At 42.3% G+C, this 20,290-nt stretch overlaps 1 protein-coding gene and 1 non-coding gene across 2 annotated transcripts in view; one reads left to right on the top strand and one right to left on the bottom strand.

Annotated features, from left to right (window-relative positions):
* Positions 1–10,059: 10,059 nt before the first annotated feature.
* The window catches only part of POTED (POTE ankyrin domain family member D), a 36,047-nt gene continuing 25,816 nt past the window's right edge, over positions 10,060–20,290 (bottom strand). The window contains exons 10-11 of the mRNA NM_174981.6: positions 16,245–16,368; positions 10,060–14,538 (exon numbers count right to left, since the gene is read on the bottom strand). Coding sequence (NP_778146.2) covers positions 14,317–14,538; positions 16,245–16,368 — 346 coding nt within the window. The 3' untranslated portion in view covers positions 10,060–14,316. The remainder of the gene's footprint in view (positions 14,539–16,244; positions 16,369–20,290) is intronic.
* MIR3118-1 (microRNA 3118-1) lies at positions 11,033–11,108 on the top strand. Its single transcript, NR_036061.2, has one exon. It is a non-coding gene; the product is annotated as a microRNA 3118-1 (primary transcript).

The following is a 20,290-nucleotide window of genomic DNA, read 5'->3' as shown; positions in this document are numbered from 1 at the left end:
AGAGAAGATATAAAGATATATAACCCAATTATTTTACATTGCTCTAAAGATAATTGATTGTCTAATTTTTTTTTAAAAAAGTAACTTTATATTATGGAATTCATAATATTTGAGACTATAATGCATGACATAAATAGTATAAAGGAGAGAGGAAACAGAAATATACATTTTAAGGTTTTTATACCATAGTTGGTATAGTACAAATTATAGGTTACTGTAATAAGCTAGAATAGGTATTGAAATCTCTAGAGAAACCATGAACATTTTTTAAAAATGGTATGTGCATTGTTTTCATAGAACTTCCAGCTTTTATTTATTTGTTTTTATTCATTTAATTTTATTTATTTTATTTTTTTGAGATGGAGTCTCGCCCTGTTGCCCAGGCTGCAGTGCAATGGTGTGATCTCAGCTCACTGCAACCACCTCCGCCTCCCAGGGTTCCAATGAATTCTCCTGCCTCAGCCTCCTGAGTAGCTGGGATTACAGGTGCCCACCACCATGCCCAGCTAATTTTTGTATTTTTAGTAGAGACGGGGTTTCACCATGTTGGCCAGGCTTGTCTCAAACTCCTGGCCTCATGATCGGCCCACCTCAGCTTCCCAAAGTGCTGGGATTACAGACTTGAGACACCATACCAGGCCCCAGCTTTTAGTTTTTAAGGTAGTTGTTATTACATGTGAAGTAAGGTTATTCTTAAATATCCATGTTTTGAGAATTAATAATGACAAATTAATTTATCTCAATCTAAATGATATTTTAATATTAAATATTTAAATATTTTTATTATTTTTCCTTTTTAACAGAAGTCATTCTAACTGGTGTGAGATGGTATTTCACTGCTGTTTTGTTTTGCATTTCTCTGATGATTAGTGATGGTATGCATGTGTTAATATGTTTGTTGGCCACATATGTGTTCTTCTGAAAACTGTCTGTTTATGTTCTTTGCCCATTTTTTAATGGGGTTATTTATTTTTTGCTCGTTGATTTGCATAAGTCTCTTATGGCTTCTGGATAATAGGCCTTTGCTGTATGCATAGTGTGTGAATATTTTCTTCCATTCTGTAGGCTGTCTGCTCAATCCCTTGAGAGTTTCTCATGCTGTGTAGAAGCAGCTCTTTAGTTTAATTAAATCATATTTGTCAATTTTCATTTTTCTGGCAATTGCTTTTGAGGACTTACCCATAAATTCATTGCCAAGTGCAATGTCCAGATGAATATTTCCTAGGTTTTCTTCCAGGATTTTTATAGGCAGAGGATGTAATCTCATGTCAATGGGTCTTAATAATCAAATGACTCCACACTGAGAATCATTACTGTGAAAAATCGATTTTGTTATAATGATGGAAATTTAAACATATAAAAGTAAAAACAGAAGCCACCTCTTTGCTAGAACTCCACAAGGCAAATTACTATAAGAGAGGCAGAGGAAACACGATATATATATATATATAATCTCCAAAATATAATTTGCAGTGAAATAAATGAAAGCACATTATAAATAAACTTACCTGATTTTACAAACTAACCTGTAAAGGGATTTGTACTAATTTTTCCATTGCCTGCATTGCCTTTTCTTCTAGATCCAATTTATATTTTTGTACTTCACCAATGTGTCTTCACCAATGTGTACTTTCCATACGTTTTTTAAGATTTAATATTACTTCTTCCAACATCTTTTTAGCCTCAAGTTTTTTACATTCCTGTTGTATTTTTTCATACATAATAACTCCTGTTGAATACCTTGATTGTTTTGAGTCAAACAGACATATTTTGAAGATACAGCTTCCAGCTCTGCTGTAAGATCATCAAACTACATTAATAAAATAATATAGCTTGAAAATGAAGTAGGCTGAGAATAATCTCATACAAAACCAATAACAAATTTTGAAATACATTTACTTGCAATAAAATGTTATCTATAATGTAGATTCTTTAAATGTTAACCCTTAAATTACTCAGAAATTCAAGAACAAAGTAAAAGCCACCATAAGTCACATATATTCTTTACTATCATCATCTTTGCCACAGAACTTTTGCACTTGATCTTTCTTTTATTTTTCTGATAATTTGTGTCTGTTCCTCCTTAAATGGCTCTACGTTAACTCTTATTAGAAAGTTTCAAACCCCTTTCTCTCATCATCATGCCCCAAAATTTGTCAAAAAAAGTTTCAGAGATATAATATTGAGTTATTTAGGCCAAAGTCAATAAATGGCTCTTAGAATAAGACTTTGAAAATAATGTAATACTCTATGCTAGGCATGGTGGCTCATGCCTGTAATCCCAGCACTATAGGAGGCTGTGGCAGAAAGATTACTTGAGGCCAGGAATTTGAAACCAGCCAGAGCAACATAGTGATAACATAATCTCGACAAAAAAAATTTTTTTTTTAAATTAGCCAGCCATGGTGACTTATGCTTGTAGATCCAGCTAGTTGGGAGACTAAGGCACAAGGATGGCTTGGACTCAGAGTTCAGGGCTGCAGTGAATTATGACCAAGCCACTCCACTTCTGCCTGGATGACAGACAGAGACCATATCTCAAAAAAACACAAAATAATCCTATAAATAAGGATTCTAATGCCATAAGCCTTTCCCTAGGCTGTAAATGTTTTATGCTAATTTGAATTGCATTTTTAAAAGTAATGACTCTTGGGGTAGAGGCCATAGAATACAGCACCCAGATATAAATCCACATATTTGCCTTACAAGAAATAAATCCACATTCTTACAAGAGCTCCTGAAGGAAGCACTAAACATGGAAAGGGACAAACAGTATGAGCCACTGCAAAAACATACCAAATTGTAATGACCATCGACACTATAAAGAAACTGCATTAACTAATGGGAAAAATAAACACCTAACAACATCATGACAGGATAAATTTCACATGTAACAATATTAACCTTAAACGTAACTGGGCTAAATGCCCCAGTAAAAAGACACAGACTGGCAAGTTGGAAAAAGACTCAAGACCCATTGGTGTACTGTATTCAGGAGACCCATCTCACATGCAAAGACACACACAGGCTCAAAATAAAGGGATGGAGGAATATTTACCAAGAAAATGAAAAGGAAAAAAAAAAAGGGGGTTGCAATCCTAGTCTCTGATAAAACAAACTTTAAATGGAAAAGATCAAAAGAGACAAAGAAGGGCATTACAAAGCAGTGCCATCTGCTTTTCCTCAGGACTCTGCTCCATCAGCCATCAGGTGGCAGCCATTCAGGCTGTTGGAACCTGGCCATCCATGCTTCTCTGAGTGGGTGAAGTTAAAGGCTGGTCCAACTGCATGAGGAGCATGCTTGCAGAGGTGGCTGCTTGCTCTTTGAGCCAGCTTGGCCTTGCCTGGCATGCACAGGCCCCAGCTACTGACACGCTGCTCTGAGTAAGCTTGTCCTGCCTGGGGCCAAATTCTAAGTCTGGCCAGGGCCACAGAAAGGCGAGTCCCCTGGGTGGTAATCCTGACTTTTTTCTGCACTTGAACATAAAGTCCTCCTCAAGACGGCCTGTGGTCTGCCTCTTGGCAACCAAGAAGCCTGCAGTGCCATATAAGCTCAGAGGCATGGACTAGAGCCCCAAAGGCAGTGAACACCCTGCTCCTGAGCCTGCTGCTAATTCCCTGTGTGTGGCTCCATTTGCACAGCTGTTGTACTGAGGCTTGTGCATGCTGGGCAAGGACAAGCTGGCTCAAAGAGCAACCAGCCACTTCTGCAAGGGTGTGACAGGAGCAGGTAGACCAGCCACCAACCTCACTCGCTGCCTGCCAGACACGGCACATCAGTTCTTCTACCCTAGAGGTAGGGCCCCAGTGCCATCTGCTCTTCCTGAGGCCTCTGCTCCATCAGCCATCAGGAGGCAGCCACACAGGCTGTGGGAACCTGCCTATCCTTGCTTCCTTGAGTAGCCGAGGTTGGTGGCTGCTCCACCTGCTCCCGGTGCACCCCTGCAAAGGTGGCTGGTTGCTCTTTGAGCCGGCTTGGCCTTGCCTGGCATGCAGAGGCCCCAGCTACTGACACGCTCCTCTGAGTGAGCTTGTCCTGCCTTGGCCCAAATTCTAAGTCTGGTCAGGTCCACAGAAGGCAGAGTCCCCTGGGTGGTAATGCTGGCTGCTTTCTGCATTTGAACACAAAGTCCTCTTCAAGACGACCTGTGGTCTGCCCCTTGGCAATGAAGAAGCCCGCAGTGCCATATGAGCCCTGAGACATGGACTGGAGCCTCAAAGGCAGTGCACACCATGCTCCTGATCCTGCTGCTCATTTCCTCTCTGTGGCTCCATTTGTAGCACAGTTGTTGCACTGAGGCTTGTGCATACCGAGCGAAGCCAAGCTGGCTCAAAGAGTACCCAGCCACCTCCGCAAGGGTGTGCCAGGAGCCGGTGGAGCAGACACTAAACTCACTCGCTGCCGGTTGGGGCACATCAGTTCTTCTCCCATAGAGGTTGGGCCCCAGTGCCATCTGCTTTTCCTCAGGCCTCTGCTCCATCAGTCTCCAGGTGGCAGCCAGTCAGACTGTTGGAACCTGGCCATCCGTGCTTCCTTGTGTGGGTCAGTTTGATGGCTGCTACATCTTCTCCAGGCACACCCTTGCGGAGGTGGCTGGTTGCTCTTTGAGACAGCTTGGCCTTGACTGGCATGCACAGGCTCCAGCTACTGAGATGCTGCTCTGAGTGAGCTTGTCCTGTATTAGGCCAAATTCTAAGTCCAGTCAGGGCCACAGAAGGCAGAGTCCCCTGGGTGGTAATCCTGGCTGCTTTCTGCACTTGAACATAAAGTCCTCCTCAAGATGGCGTGTGGTCTGCCTCTTTGCAACCAAGAAGCCCACAGAGCCATACTAGCCCCAAGGCATTGACTGGAGCCCCAAACGCAGCACACACCCTGCTCCTGAGCCTGCTGCTCTGTTTTCTCTGTGTGGCTCCATTTGTAGCACAGTTGATGTACTGAGGCTTGTGCATGCTGGGTAAGGCCAAGCTGGCTCAAAGAGCAACCAGCCACCTCTGCAAGGGTGTGCCAGGAGCAGGTGGACCAGCCACCAACCTCACTCGCAGCCAGTCAGGGTACATCAGTTCTTCTACCCTAGAGGTAGAGCCCCAGTGCCATCTGCTTTTCCTCAGGCCTCTGCTCCATCAGCCATCAGGAGGCAGACATGCAGGCTGTGGGAACCTGGCCATCCCTACTTCCTTGAGTGGGTGAGGTTGGTGGCTGCTCCACCTGCTCCAGGTGCACCCTTGCAGAGGTGGCTGGTTGCTCTTCGAGCCACCTTGGCCTTGCCTGGCATGCACAGGCCCCAGCTACTGACACACTGCTCCGAGTGAGGTTGCCCTGCCTGGGGCCAAATTCTAAATCTGGCCAGGGCCACAGAAGGCAGAGCCCCTGGGTGGTGATACTGGCTGTTTTCTGCATTTGAACATAAAGTCCTCCTCAAGATGGCCTGTGGTCTGCATCTTGGCAACGAAGAAGCCCACAGTGCCACACGAGCCCTGAGGCATGGACTGGAGCCCCAAAGGCAGCGCACACCCTGCTCCTGAGCCTGCTGCTCATTTCCTCTCTGTGACTCCATACCTAGCACAGATGTTGCAATGAGGCTTGTGTATGCCAGGCAAGGCCAAGCTGGCTCAAAGAGCAACCAGCCACCTCTGCAAGCGTGTGCCAGGAGCCGGTGGAGCAGCCACCAAACTCACTTGTTGCAGGTCAGAGCACATCAGTTCTTCTACCCTAGAGGTAGGGCCCCAGTGCCATCTGCTTTTCCTCAGGCCTTTGCTCCATCAGCCATCAGGAGGCAGCCACTCAGGCTGTGGGAACTTGGCCATCCCTACTTCCTTGAGTAGCTGAGGTTGGTGGCTGCTCCACATGTCCCAGGTGCACCCTTGCAGAGGTGACTGGTTCCTATTTGAGTCAGCTTGGCCTTGCCTGGCATGCATAGTCTCCAGCTACTGACATGCTGCTGTGAGTGAGTTTGTCCTGCCTTGGCCCAAATTCTAAGTCTGGTCAGGGCCACAGAACGCCAAGTCCCCTGGGTGGTAATCCTGCTGCTTTCTGTACTCGAACATAAAGTCCTCCTCAAGACAGCCTGTGGTCTGCCTCTTGGCAACCAAGAAGTCCGCAGTGCCATACGAGCCCTGAGCCATGGACTGGAGCACCAAAGGCAGTGTACACCCTGCTCCTGAGCCTGCCTCTAATGTCCTCTGTGTGGTTCCATTTGTAGAACAGTTGTTGCACTGAGACTTGTGCATGCTGGGCAAGGCCAAGCTGGCTCAAAGAGAAACCAGCCACCTCTGCAAGGGTGTGCCAGGAGCAGGTGGACCAGCCACAAACATCACTCGCTGCCGGACATGGTACCTCAGTTCTTCTACCCTAAAGGTAGGGCCCCAGTGCCATCTGCTTTTCCTCAGGCCTCTGCTCCATCAGCCATCAGGTGGCAGCCACTCAGGCTGTGGGAACCTGGCCATCCTGGCTTCGTTGAGGGGGTGAGATTGGTGGCTGGTCCAACTGCTCTAGGCACACCCTTGCAGAGGTGTCTGGTTGCTCTTTTAGCCAGCTTGGCTTTGCCTGGCATGCACAGGCCCCAGGTACTGACACGCTGCTCTGAGTGAGCGTGTCATGCCTGGGACCAAATTCTAAGTCTGGCCAGGGTCACAGAAGCCTGAGTCCCCTAGGTTGTAATCCTGGCTGCTTTCTGCACTTGAACATAAAGTCCTCCACAAGATGGCCTGTGATCTGCCTCTTGGCAACCAAGAAGCCCAAAGTGCCATATGAGCCCTGAGGCATGGACTGGAGCCCCAAAGGCAATGTACACCCTGCTACTGAGCCTGCTGGTCATTTTCTGTGTGGCTCCATTTGTAACACAGTTGTTGCACTGAGGCTTGTGCATGCCAGGCAAGGCCAAGCTGGCTCAAAGAGCAACCGGCCATCTCTGCAAGGATCCACCTGGAGCAGGTGGACCAGCCTCCAACCTCATCCACTTAAGGAAGCAGGGAATGTGTGTTTGTACCATGCATTTCACTACAAGTACATTTCTCCTGAGTTTGGTGGCCTAGGTTTTCTTCTAGGTTTTTTATGGTTTTAGGTCTTAAGTTTAACTCTTCAATCCATCTTAAGTTAATTTTTGTATAAAGTGTAAGGAAGTGGCCCAGTTTCAGTTTTCTGCATATGGCTAGCCAGTTTTCCTAACACCATTTATTGAATAAGGAATCCTTTCCCCATTGCTTGTTTTTGTCAGGTTTGTCAAAGATCAGATGGTTTTAGATGTGTGGTGTCATTTCTGAGGCCTCTGTTCTGTTCCATTTGTCCATATATCTGGTTTGGTACCAGTACCATGCTGTTTTGGTTACTGTAGCCTTATAGAATAGTTTGAAGTCAGGTACTGTGATGCCTCCAGCTTGTTCTTTTTGCTTAGGATTGTCTTGGCTATGCGAGCTCTTTTTTGGCTCCATATGAAATTTAAAGTAGTGTTTCTAATTGTGGGAAGAAAGTCAATGGTAGCTTGATGGAGATAGCACTGATTCTATAAATTACTTTGGGAGATATGGCATTCAGGCACAGAAATGTCCTTGTGTTACGCAATACCATTCAGGACATAGGCATGGGCGAAGACTTCATCACTAGAACACCAAAAGAGATGGCAACAAAAGCCAAAATTGACAAATGGGATCTAATTAAACTAAAGAATGTCTGCAGAGCAAAAGAAACTATCATCAGAGTGAACAGGCAACCCTCAGAATGGGAGAAAATTGTTGCAATCTATCCATCTGACAAAGGGCTAATACGCAGAATCTATAAAAACTTAAACAAATTTACAAGAAAAAAACAAACAACCCCATCAAAAAGTGGGCAAAGGATACGAACAGACACTTCCCAAAGGAGACATTTATGCAGCCAACGAACATGTGAAGCAAAGCACTGGTCATTAGAGAAATGGAATTCAAAACCATAATGAGATACAATGTTACGCCACTTGGAATGGCCATCATTAAAAAATCAGGAAACAACAGATGCTGGAGAGGATGTGGAGAAATAGGAATGCTTTTACACTGTTGGTGGGAGTATAAATCAGTTCAACCATCGTGGAAGACAATGTGATGATTCCTCAAGGATCTACAACTAGAAATACCATTTGACCCAGCAATCCCATTACAGTGTATATACTCAAAAAAATATAAATCATTCCAATATAAAGACACATGCACATGTATGCTTATTGCGGCAGTGTTCACAACAGCAAAGACTTGGAACCAACCCAAATACCCACCAATGATAGACTGGATAAAGAAAATGTGGCATATATACACCATGGAATACTATGCAGTCATAAAAAAGGATGAGTTCATATCCTTTGCAGGGACATGGATGAAGCTGGAAACTGTCATTCTCAGCAAACTAACACAAAAACAGAAAACCAAACACCACATGATCTCACTCATAAGTGGGAGCTGAACAATGAGAACACATGGACACAGGAAGGGAAACATCACACACAAGGGCCTGTCAGGGTGGGGGGCTAGAAAAGGGATGGCATTAGATCACGGGTTGGTGCATGCAGCAAGCCACCATAGCATGTGTATACGTATGTAACAAACCTGCATGTTCTGCACATGTACCCCAGAACTTAAAGTATAATTTTAAAAAAATAAATTTGCTTTTAATTAAGCTTTTCATCATAGAACTTGTAAAGAAAATACTTCTGAATCTTTTACTACCACATCATAGCTGGGACAAACTGCTGATATTTTAAAAATAACACAAATATCAAACAGAAAGAACTAGACTTAGGAACCAAACTCAGGTTTCTGTAGTGAACAGGGCAGAATCTTAACTTTGGGTCGCCACCACTACTCCTTCAGTTTGGCCTTGGCTAGCAAAAGATGCAACCACTTATGTAAAAAATAAAAATAAAAAAGTTAAAAAAAATCATTTCTGCTAACGGATTTTTTTTTTTTTTTTTTTTTTTTTTTTTGCAGCCACATGAGTTTTAGCCAATTCAGAAGCCTTGTTCCCCACAATTTGGAGCATTCTTTGGATCTGACCAAGTCAGGAAGAGATGGGAGAAAAGTGAAACAACATCAACAAAACCCCAAACATAAACAAACAAAAAGAGTTAAGCAAAACAAACAAATGCACAATTCATATGATTACTGAGTGTTCTAATGGTAAGGAGAAATTAAAAGCAGCTGGTGAGTAATCTTAAATTTTAGTCATTAAGGAAAAATTTTAAGACAAAACTCTAATTCAGCTACTTACCTGGAAATAAGTCTCAGGCTGGTGATTGTTCTCTGCCATCTTAGAAGCTGGAAAAAACTTACACTCACCTTCCCTGTCAGAAGCAAGCTGAAACTCAAGAAAGGAGGTGCCTGCTCTCCATCATCATGGAAGCAGGAAAACTTGCCTTGTTGGAAATAAGTAAAACTTCAGAAAAGGAGTTGTATGGCAATCAACCTTAGATGTCAACCAAATTTTGGGAGATCAGGGATTATCTGCGGGGGAGAAGCTCCCTAACCTCAGCACATTATCCTATTGGTTTGGGCAATAAAGATAGCCCAGGTTGGTATCAAGCAATAATGAGATTTATCAAAGGTCAGGACCACCTTTGTAATCTCCTTCTGTTTTTTTTTTTTTTTTTTTTTTTTTTTTTGAGACGGAGTCTCACTGTCTCTCCTGGGCTGCAGTGCAGTGGCACGATCTTGGCTCACTGCAAGCTCCACCTCCCAGGTTCACACCATTCTCCTGCCTCAGCCTCCCAAGTAGCTGGGACTACAGGCACCCGCCACCATGCCCAGCTAATTTTTTGTATTTTTCGTAGAGACAGGGTTTCACCGTGTTAGCCAGGATGGTCTCGATCTCCTGACCTTGTGATCCATCCGTCTCAGCCTCCGAAAGTGCTGGGATTACAGGCGTAAACCACCGCGCCCAGCCCTCTTTTTTTTTTTAATCTGTATTGGTATAGTCTGTTTTGTCAGAAACTAGGAGTGCAACACCTGCTTTTTTCTGTTTTCCATTTCCTTGAAATATTTTTCTCCATTCCTTTATTTTGAGCCTATGTATGGCACTGCATGTGAGATGGGTTTCTTGAAGACGGCATACTCCAATGGGTCTTGGTTCTTTATCCAGCTTGCCCCCTGTGTCTTTCAATTGGAGCATTTAGCCCATTTCCATTTAAGGTTAGTAATGGTATGTGTGGATTTGATCCTGTCGTCATGCTGTCAGCTGGCTTTTTTGCAGACTTATGTAGTTGGTTTTTAGCATCACTTGTCTGTGTACTTCAGTGTGTTTCTGTAGTGGCTGGTGGTGGTCTTTTCTTTCCATATTTAGTGCTTCCTTCAGGAGCTCTTGTAAGGTAGGTCTGGTGATAACGAATTCCCTCAGCATTTGCTTGTCTGAAAAGGATCTTGTTTCTCCTTCACTTATGATGCTTAATTTTGCTGGACATGAAATTCTGGGTTGAAATTTCTTTTCTTTGAGATGTTGAATGTCTTTTCTGGCTTGTACAGTTTCAGTTGAGAGGTCTGCTAAATCTGATGGAATTCCCTTTGCAGGTGATGTTGCCTTTCTCCCTAGCTGCCTTTAACATTTTTTCTTTTATTTTGACCTCAGAAAATCTGACGATTATGTGTCTTGGGGATGATCTTCTCATGGCATATCTTACTGAGGTTCTCTGGATTTCCTGAAGTTGAATGTTGGCCTGTCTGGCTAGGTTGGGGACATTCTCATGAATGATATTCTGAAATGTGTTTTCCAAGTTGGTTCCATTCTCATCTCTTTCAGGTACATTAATCAGTCATAGATTTGGTCGTTTATATAATCCCATATATCTCAGATGTTTTGTTCATTCCCTTTCATTCTTTTTTCCCCCATTCTTGTTTGCCTGTTTTATTTCAGAAAGCCAGTTTTCAAGCTCTGGGATTCTTTCCTCTTCTTGGTCTATTCTGTTGGATGGTCTTGCACATGAGATGGAGCTGGTCTGACCTCAGCCCTCCCTAGTCTGCTTGCCTCTCCCAGGACCCCAGCCTGGCCACACCTGCTTACAGGGCACTCTCAGGTGCCCACACATACAATAATATTCATAATGCAATCACACACAATCACCATGTGACTGCATTATGAAAATTCTTCTAGTGTGATTTACAGCTCTGTCAGGTCAGTTATTTTCTTCTTTATACTTGCTCTTTTGTCTGTTACTTCCTGCAATGTTTTACAATGATTTTTAGCTTCCTTGTATTGGATTACAACATACTTCTTTCACGCAATGAACTTTGTTCCTACCCATATCCTGAACTCTGCTTGTATCATTTCAGACATCTCAGCCTCAGCCCAGTTCTGAACACTTGCTGGAGAGTTGATGCAGTCATTTGGAGAAAAGAAGGCATGCTGAATTTTTGAGTTTTTAGTGTTCTTGCACAGAGTCTTTTTCTCATCTTTATGGGCTTATCCATCTTCAATCTTTGAGGTTGCTGACGTTTGGACAGGGTATTTTTCCTTTATTATATCTGATGACCTTGAGGATTTGATTGTGGTGTAAGGTGGATTCAGCCAACAGGTTTTGTTTTTGGAGGATTTTAAGGGGCCAACATGCAGCTCCCAATTCTTGGACTGTGTGCTTTAACTCTGGGGAACTTGTATTGGGCCACAACTTTGTTCTCTGGCTCCTCGAGGTTTGGAGTCCACTGCACTGAGGGGACCAAAGTGCGGCAGCTGTGGCAGAATGCTACCAGATGCAAAAGTCCCTGCCTCCCTGTGGGCATTCACCCAGTGGTGGAGGCAAAACAGCTGGGGTGTGGGCCAGGGGGCCCCTGCTGTGTGTGCTGTTGCACTGGAGGTAGTGCTGGTTTGGGGTGGGTGGCTGGCCAGTGAAGGTGCCTTCTTTGATCCCCCCCAAGCAACAGTGGTCACTCAGGGTATAAGAAGGTCCCTTTTCCTCTGCACAGCATTACCTCAAGGGTGAGATGCTAGCAGGGGTGGGGTTTTTGGTTCTGTGCCCACCATGGCTTCATCTTCAGTGGCAGTTGGTGTGGGTTGGGGTGTGTGCTGCATTCCCATATGCTGTTAGGGCAAGTACAACAAAACCCACCTGTGTAAACACACACAGCAAAGTGATGTAGGAAGTTTCCATATAAAGGGCTGCAGTATGGAGAGGTAATGTGCAGGCTAGTGCGTGGCTGTAGAGGTCACCTTGCTGCAGCTCTCCATTGATCAGGCATGGTCCGCTTGTACAGAAGCTATGGTGTGGGCACCCGAAAGTGCCCTCTAAGCAGGTGTGGCCTGGCTGGGGTCCTGGGAGAGGCAAGCAGACTAAGGGGTGCTGAGGTCAGACCAGCCCCATCTCATGTGCAAGACTGCCCAGCACAGATCAGGTCTCAGAGGAGAACTCTCTCAAAAGTGAATCCTCAGCACAGCACAACTGCTCTACACAAACGTGGCCAGACTTCTTTTTTAAGCAAGTCCCCTTTTTTACGAAGAGAACTCTTAGACCTGATCTGTGCTGGGCAATCCTGCATGTGAGATGGGGCTGGTCTGACCTCAGCACTCCTAAAGTGCTGGGATAAAGTGTCTCATAAGAGCAAGTGGAGCCTAGAGACATAGCTGTCCCTGCCCTCCGGGCTCCACATCAGCTGACTTGCTGCTCCACCACTTTCCTTGTCTCCTGGGGGCTCCACCCCAGAGAGGTGTAAGTTAGCAGTTACTTAATGTAATCACCCCAGGATGGAGGGTCTGTGTTGTGGGCCCAAGCCAGGGTTCCTTGTCTGGTGATGAGCAGTAAGGGGTGTGTTGTACCTGTGGAAGATGGACTGACTTGTTCCTTGTGTCAACTGCAGCTTGTTGGAGGTGTCAATATGGTACTTAGGGTCTTTGCTCCCTTGATATTCTGAGGGTAGCAAGGGCAGTTCCACTGCAGAGGCAGTGGCAGAGAGGATTTCTGTTGCTCCTGGAAGCTCTGTCCAGGGAGTTGCTGAGTTGCTACTGGCTTGAAAGCTCAAGTGGGGGGCTGGCTGGAGACCCAGGCCAGGAAGACCTGCCCATCGAGGAGATATGGAAATGGGCACCCACATAACAGTCTGGCCACTTTTCTGTGGGGCTGCCGTGGTATGCTGGGGGTCCACTCCAGTCGCCAATTGCCTCGTATTTTCCAGTGGCTGAAGGTATCAGCAGTGAAGCCTGCGAAAAAGCAAAGACGATAACCTGCCCTTCCCTCTGGGAGCTCTGTACCTCTGAGGTATGAACCTGTTGCCAATCTGAACACACCTGTAGGATGTGACTGGAAGCAAGTTGAGAAGTCTTGCCTAGTAAGGAGGAACAGGAATAGGGACTTGTTTAAAAAAGAAGTCTGGCCACGTTTTTGTAGAGTGGCTATGCTGTGCGGGGGGTTCACTTCAGCCCCTGGTCTCCTCAGACACTCTGAAACTCTAAGACTGAACTGGCTGAGTCATCCAAACAGCAAAGATGACAGTCTGGTCCTCCCCCTGGGAGCTCTCACTCAGGAGGCCTGAAACCTCTGTCAGCCAGAGAACAGCAGTGAAGGTGGCTGGAGACCCTGGTTGAAAGGCTCCAGCCAGTGATTAGAAATGTGGTTGGGGACTGGCTTAAACAAGAATCTGGCCACGTTTTCGCAGGGTGGCTGTTCTGTGCTGAGGTACCACTTCCACCCCTGGTCAGCTTGGGCTCTCCAAAGCCCACAGGCCAGAAGGGCTAGTTGCCCAAACAACAAAGGTCATGGCCCACCCCTCTCTCTGGGAACTCTGTCCCAGGAAGGTTTCAAATCTCCATTGGCCAGGGAACACTGGTGGGTGTAGCTGGAGGCCTCAGGTGGGAGATCCTGTCCAGTGACAAGGAACAGGATCAGGGGCCTGCTTACAGAAGCATTCTGGCCATGATTTGGTAAAGCAGCTGTGCTATGCCACAGGATCTCTTCTGCCCCTGGTGGGTTTGTACTCTCCAAAGCCCGCACGCTGGAATGGCTAAGTTGCCCAAACAGGAAAGATGGTGGCCTGCCTCATCTTTTCTCTCAGAATTTATCCTGTGTGATGGAGCTTAATTTTTAGGTTGTTAATTTTACTGTCAGCGTTAGAGTTGTTCAGAAAGAATCTCACTGTTATCTTTTAGGTGAGATATATGAGAATTCATTTTCTCCTGTAAATAAACCTGTTCATGTTTGTTCTCTGGAAAGAAGTCCCTTTCAGCTATCTGACTTTGATCACAATCATGTAGAGCAGTAGTCAGTCTACAATGACATGATTGAATTTCCATTTCCAGTGTTTCCTAGCTGTGTCTTACACTCTCCAGTTCAGAACTGAGCATTCTCAGTTGTCAAAATCCTAAGCTGTCCACTGTACTTAAATATTGGTTTTCGTTAATGCTTCTTCATTCAATTGCATAGCCCTTAGAAGTTTATCAGTCTTTTCTTTCACACTTTCAATTTCCTCCAAAATTTTATTTTCCCTTAGCTGGTTCTGATGTTTTGTTTCATCTAGTTCCAGTCTTAGCATGGCAATTTCTTCCTGCAACACGCTGTTTTCACGCAAGAGATCTTCTTCTTTCTTATGACTAAGAGAAAGCTAAGTAAACAAAGGGAACTTTTAGTTAGCACTCAATAGAATGACATATCATGATTTCTTCTAAAATTAAAGAATGACATTTATATTTGTATAATGAAATAATTCCCATAGTGGATATTTAACTGGAAAAAAGTTGGACAAAACTTCAAATCTAAAAGAGTGTAAATTCCAAAAAGTTGAAATATTTATCTAAAGACCATGAAAAATAAATCACTAGAGGATTTTTAAGAATTTCAGAATTGGAAAAGCCTTTCTCTGAATTACAAAAAACCCAGAGGCATAAAATAGAAGATTAATATATTTGGCTACATTTTTTAAATTGGGTTTACACTCTGATATCTAACCTATAAACCACACCATCATAAGAGCCTTAGCTATGCATATATTAGGACAGAAGCAATTCCTCAAAGTTCTTTAAGTTCCTTTTTCTGAGGAATGTTTTATCAATATACTGCTTTTCTAATATTTTTACAGTCAGTTGTAAGCATTACATTTATTCATAACTGTTAAATCTAAGCATTGTACCCTTCTACAATGTACACATCTGCATCTAAGCATTGCACTTCTACATACAACACTCAACTCATTTAGGATCACGATTCTTAAAAGGAGAGGTCAAAAAATATATGCAGCCAGGACCAGTGGCTCACACCTGTAATCCCAGCACTTCAGGAGGCTGAGGCAGGAGAATCGTGTGAACCTGGGAGGCAGAGGTTGCAGTGAACTGAGTTTGTGCCACTGCACTCCAGCGTGGGTGACAGTGCAAGACTCCATCTAGAATACACACACACAAACACACACACACACACACACACACACACGTATATATGCAACGTGCAGGATTTTTGCCAGGTCTTCTGATGCTACTGCTAGTGATCCTCCACAAAATCACAGTTGCTTCTGTGGTGTAAATATATAAATATAAAAGAAACCTTTTATTTCAAAATACAAATGGTAAATAAGATATAACTTACAAGGCTTTTCTTAGAAATCATGAGATTATTTGCCATTGCAATAACTTTTCTTTCCTCTTTATAATGTTTGAAACATTGTAGTAGTAAGTGTGAAATAGGGGAAACATACTGAACTATTCATCTGGGAACAAAATACTTATCAATAAATTATCACTAAATGTGTATCATGGCATGTCATTGTTTTCAAAGCTCTTTGCATTGAAATGAGAAACTACTCGGAGCAAACTGTTCCTCTCCTCAAAAGCAAGGATAATGACATCCACAATGTGGCCTCTGACCCAGCTGTACATTTCCTACTTTCCTGTTAGTGAAAATAACAAACTGACTTCTCTATTAATATTTTAAAAAGAACTAATGTCCCAAAACTAGCAAATCTGTTGTTAGTAGCAAAACTTATTTTTGATATTGGAAAGATAATCAATTCTTATGAAAAATATCAAATGCTTTTCCTTTGGATTGAGGCCATTGTGAAGGTCACTACTCGACTGTTGCAGGCAAATGCAGTTGAATTAAGAACATGGTTTTATCCTATATGTACATATATAAATATATGACCAAGGATATACAGGGTGTGTGTGTGTGTGTGTGTATATATATACACACACACATATATATACACACACACACACGTGTGTATATATGTGATTTAAAAATCCTTTATACCTTCCAAAATAAAGCTTTTTAAAAATATATACACATATGAAAACATTTGAAAATGACTAAAGAAAATACCTCAGAATTCATTTTCTGTTCAGCCACTTCTATCTGCTTTTGTTTATTAGTCAGAATCTCATCTTGTGATATTCCAGTGTTCTGTTCTTCAGAAAGTTGTTTCCGGGTATCATTTTGTTCATCACTAGAAGAAAATTTAATTTTCATGAAATACTGGAGGTGTCCCTAAAATGATCTACAGGGCAAGATGGCACCATCAGATGTCATTCACACAATGTATATCTGCACATTAATCCAAGACAAGACAAAGGGGTTTCACATCTGTTAAACCTGCTCTCACAGTCATGTTGGCACCAGGGACTAGTTTTGTGGAAGATAATTTTTCCATGGACCTGAGGTGGGGGATGGTTCCAGGATGATTCAAGCACATTACATACATTGTGCACTTCATTTCTATTATTACTAATATATAATGAAATAATTATATAACTCGCCATCATGTAGAATCAGTGGGAGCCCTCAGCTTGTTTTCCTGCAACTAGATGGTCTCATCTAGGGGTGACAGGAGATGGTGACAGATCAGAAAGCAATAGATTCTCATAAGGAGTGAACAACCTATATCCCATGCATGAGCAGCTTGCAATAGGGTTCAAGTCACACTCCTATGACAATCTAATGTCACCGCTGATCTGACAGGAGGAGGAGCTCAGAAGGTAATGTGAGTGACAGAGAGTGGCTGTAAACAGATGAAGCTTCACTTGCTCCCTACCACTAACCTCTTGCTGTGTGGCCCAGGTCCTAACAGGCCAGGGACTGGTACTGGTCTGTGGCCTGGGGATTGGAAACCCCTGTGTTAACCTAAACTTTTTATGTTTATTTTTTGGAAACAGTTTCCACTTATATTCTTGATTCCTCTGTAATCTATAGACAACTTAGAAATTCCCTTTGGAACAAGACAGGCTCTAATATTGTGTTTTTAACATAGAACTTTGAATTCATTTTATTTGTGTATGAGAGAGAAATGTGAAATAAACTGATCAACAATCGCTTTCAATTTTACTTTTATTTCATGCATATTAAGAAGAAAACTGGGAAGCCCTAGGCAGAGCAATTGGGCAAGAGAAATAAAGGGCATCCAAATTGGAAAAGAGAAAGTCAAACTCTCTCTTCACCAATGATATGATCTTATGCCTAGAAAACCCTACAGACTCCTACAAAACACTCCTAGATTTGATAAATGAATTTAGTAAAGTCTCAGAGGTTACAAAATATACAAATACCAATGAATAGTACCACTATACACCAACTACAACCAAGCTGAGAGTCATATCAAGAATCCAATTCTTTTTACAATGGCTGCAAAACAGTAAAATACCTAGGAATATACTTAATGAAGGAGGTGAGTGATCTATCAAAGGATAACTGGAAAACACCACTGAAGAAAATCACAGATGATACAAATAAATGAACATACATTCTATGTTCCTGGACTGAAAGCATTGATATTGTGAAAATGCCATAGTGCCCAAAGTAGTCTACAGAGTCAATACAGTTTCTACCAAAGTACCAATGTCATTCTTCACAGAGTTATTTTAAAAAGCTGCCATTCATGTAGAACCACAAAAGAGCCTGAATAGCAACAGACATGCCAAGCAAAAGGAACAAACATGTTGGCATCACATTACCTGACTTCAAATTATACTCTAAGGCCACAGTAACAAACATCGTGGTACTGATATAAAAGTAGATACACAGATCAATGGAACAGAATAGACAACTCAGAAAAAAGGCCACTTACAACCAAATGATCTTTGAGAAAGGATACAAAAACATACACTGGAGAAAGCACACGTTATTCAACAAATGGTGCTGGGAAAAAAAGATAGTCACATATAGAAGAATAAAATTGGATCTCTATCTCTCACCATGTAAAAAAATTAATTCAAGATGGATTAATGGCCTAAACCTAAGACCTGAAGACATCAGCCTAGGCAAATAATTTATGATGAGGACCCTGAAAGCAAAAGCAACAAAAATAAAAATAAATAAATAAATAAATAAAGACCTAATTAAAGTAAAAAGCTTCAGCACAGCAAAAGAAATAATCATCAAAGTGAGCCAACAACCTATACAATGGGGAAAATATGGGCAAATTATGAATCTAACAAAGGATTAATGTCCATAACCTACCAGAAACTCAAACAAATCAGCAGGAAAAATACAAATAATTCCATTAAAAAGTGGGCACATGACATGAATAGACATTGCTCAAAAGAAGATGTACAAATGGTGAACAAGAATATAAAAACATGCTAAATATTACTAATCATCAGGGAAATGTACAATAAAACAACAGTGAGATATCACCTCACTTCAGCCAGAATGGTCACTACTAAAATAAAAAAAACAGCAGATGTTGGTGTGGATGTGGTGAAAAAAGAGTTATACACTGCTGGTGGGGATACAAATTAGTACAAATCTATGGAAAACATTATGGAGAGTTCTTTTAAAGTAGATCTTACCATTCTATCCAGCGTTCTCATTTCTGGATACCTACCCAAAATAAAAGAAATCATACTCTCAAAAAGACACCTATATACATATGTTTACTGCAGCACAATTCACATATGCAAAGATATGTTATCAGCCAGTGTCCACCAACTGATGAGTGGAATAAAGAAAAAAAAAAAAAAATATATATATATACCTGAGACTGGGTAATTCATAAAGGAAAGAGGCTTAATTGATTCACAGTTACACATGGCTGGGAAGGCCTCAGGAAACTTACAATCATGGCAGAACGTAAAGGGGAAGCAGGCAACTTCTTCAAAAGGTGGCAGGAGAGAGAGAAGTGAAAGGGAAAGAGCCCATTATAGAATTATCTGCTCTTGTGAGAACTCACTATCACGAGAACAGCATGGAGGAAACCGACCCCATGATCCAATACCTCCCAGCTGGTCTTTCTCTCAACACCTGGGAATTACAATTTGACACGAGATTTGGGTGGAAACACAAAGCCAAACTATTGGGGGGGGGGTGTATCCTTACTTTTAAAATATCAAAATGTCATTATTTATATTTCAAAGATAGCAATTTTTATTAGTAATGATTTTGTTTGAAAATAAAATGACCTGGTAAATTTTCTTCACTTTTAGCCTAGTATTTAGTAAAAATATAAAAAGCTGAATTTGCCAGCAGCAAACTGTAATTACTTTTAAATGAGGTAAAGATGTATAAGAATATCACCGTTATTGTACTGAGAAGAAAGTGAACAAGAAAAGGAATTTAAAAAGAGAGTAGAGTATCACTACCATATACATACATGAACTGACAAAGAGACTAAAATCTCCTACTGGAGATTATGTTAGGACTTGAGCAAAAGCTTCTAAAAATACCAAAAACAGAAAGAAAATAATTAATTTTAAGGAATAAATTATACAGAGAAATATGTATTTTTTAAAAAAGAAAACAGATATTCCTGAGAGCTGTTATTAACCAATTCATCTTGACCAAAATTTTAAAATGAAGTCTACAATTCTGGAATATAAAATAGTTTCATTTTGAACATAGTTAATTGAAGGCAACTTTTATACAGAAAATTTTCGGTTAAAGTTGACTCTAACTTAGGAAAGAAATGACTTGTACCAATGGTAACAAGAAGCCACACAAAGCCAGTTTGAAATCTAGTCAATCAATGACCACTGCTCTTGCTCACCAACCAATATCAATGTGAGCAGCTTGCTTCTGAAATACAGCCATGCAGCAGCACCTGCTCCATCAGAATAGACAGTGCCTGACCAGTATTCCTCTTACTATAGGAAGCAAAAAATTCCAACTCTGTCTCTTTATTTCAAATACCAAAGGTTCATAATCCCTTGAAAAGAATTTGTAAGTCCATTAAATGTGCCACCCTAATTTTTTTTTTAAATAAAATACTAGTGGCCAGGTGCGGTGGCTCATGCCTGTAATCCCAGCACTTTGAAAGGCCGAAGTGGGTGGATCACCTGAGGTACAGAGTTCGAGACCAGCCTGACCAATGGGGTGAAACCCCATCTTTATTAAAAATACAAATATTAGCTGGGCGTGGTGGCATGCCCCCATAATCC

The sequence above is a fragment of the Homo sapiens genome, chromosome 21 (genome assembly GCF_000001405.40).
Source record: "Homo sapiens chromosome 21, GRCh38.p14 Primary Assembly".
NCBI classification, from domain to species: domain Eukaryota; kingdom Metazoa; phylum Chordata; class Mammalia; order Primates; family Hominidae; genus Homo; species Homo sapiens.
The sequence above is the reverse complement of the archived record's forward strand: the minus strand, read 5'-3'. Positions and strand labels throughout refer to the sequence as shown.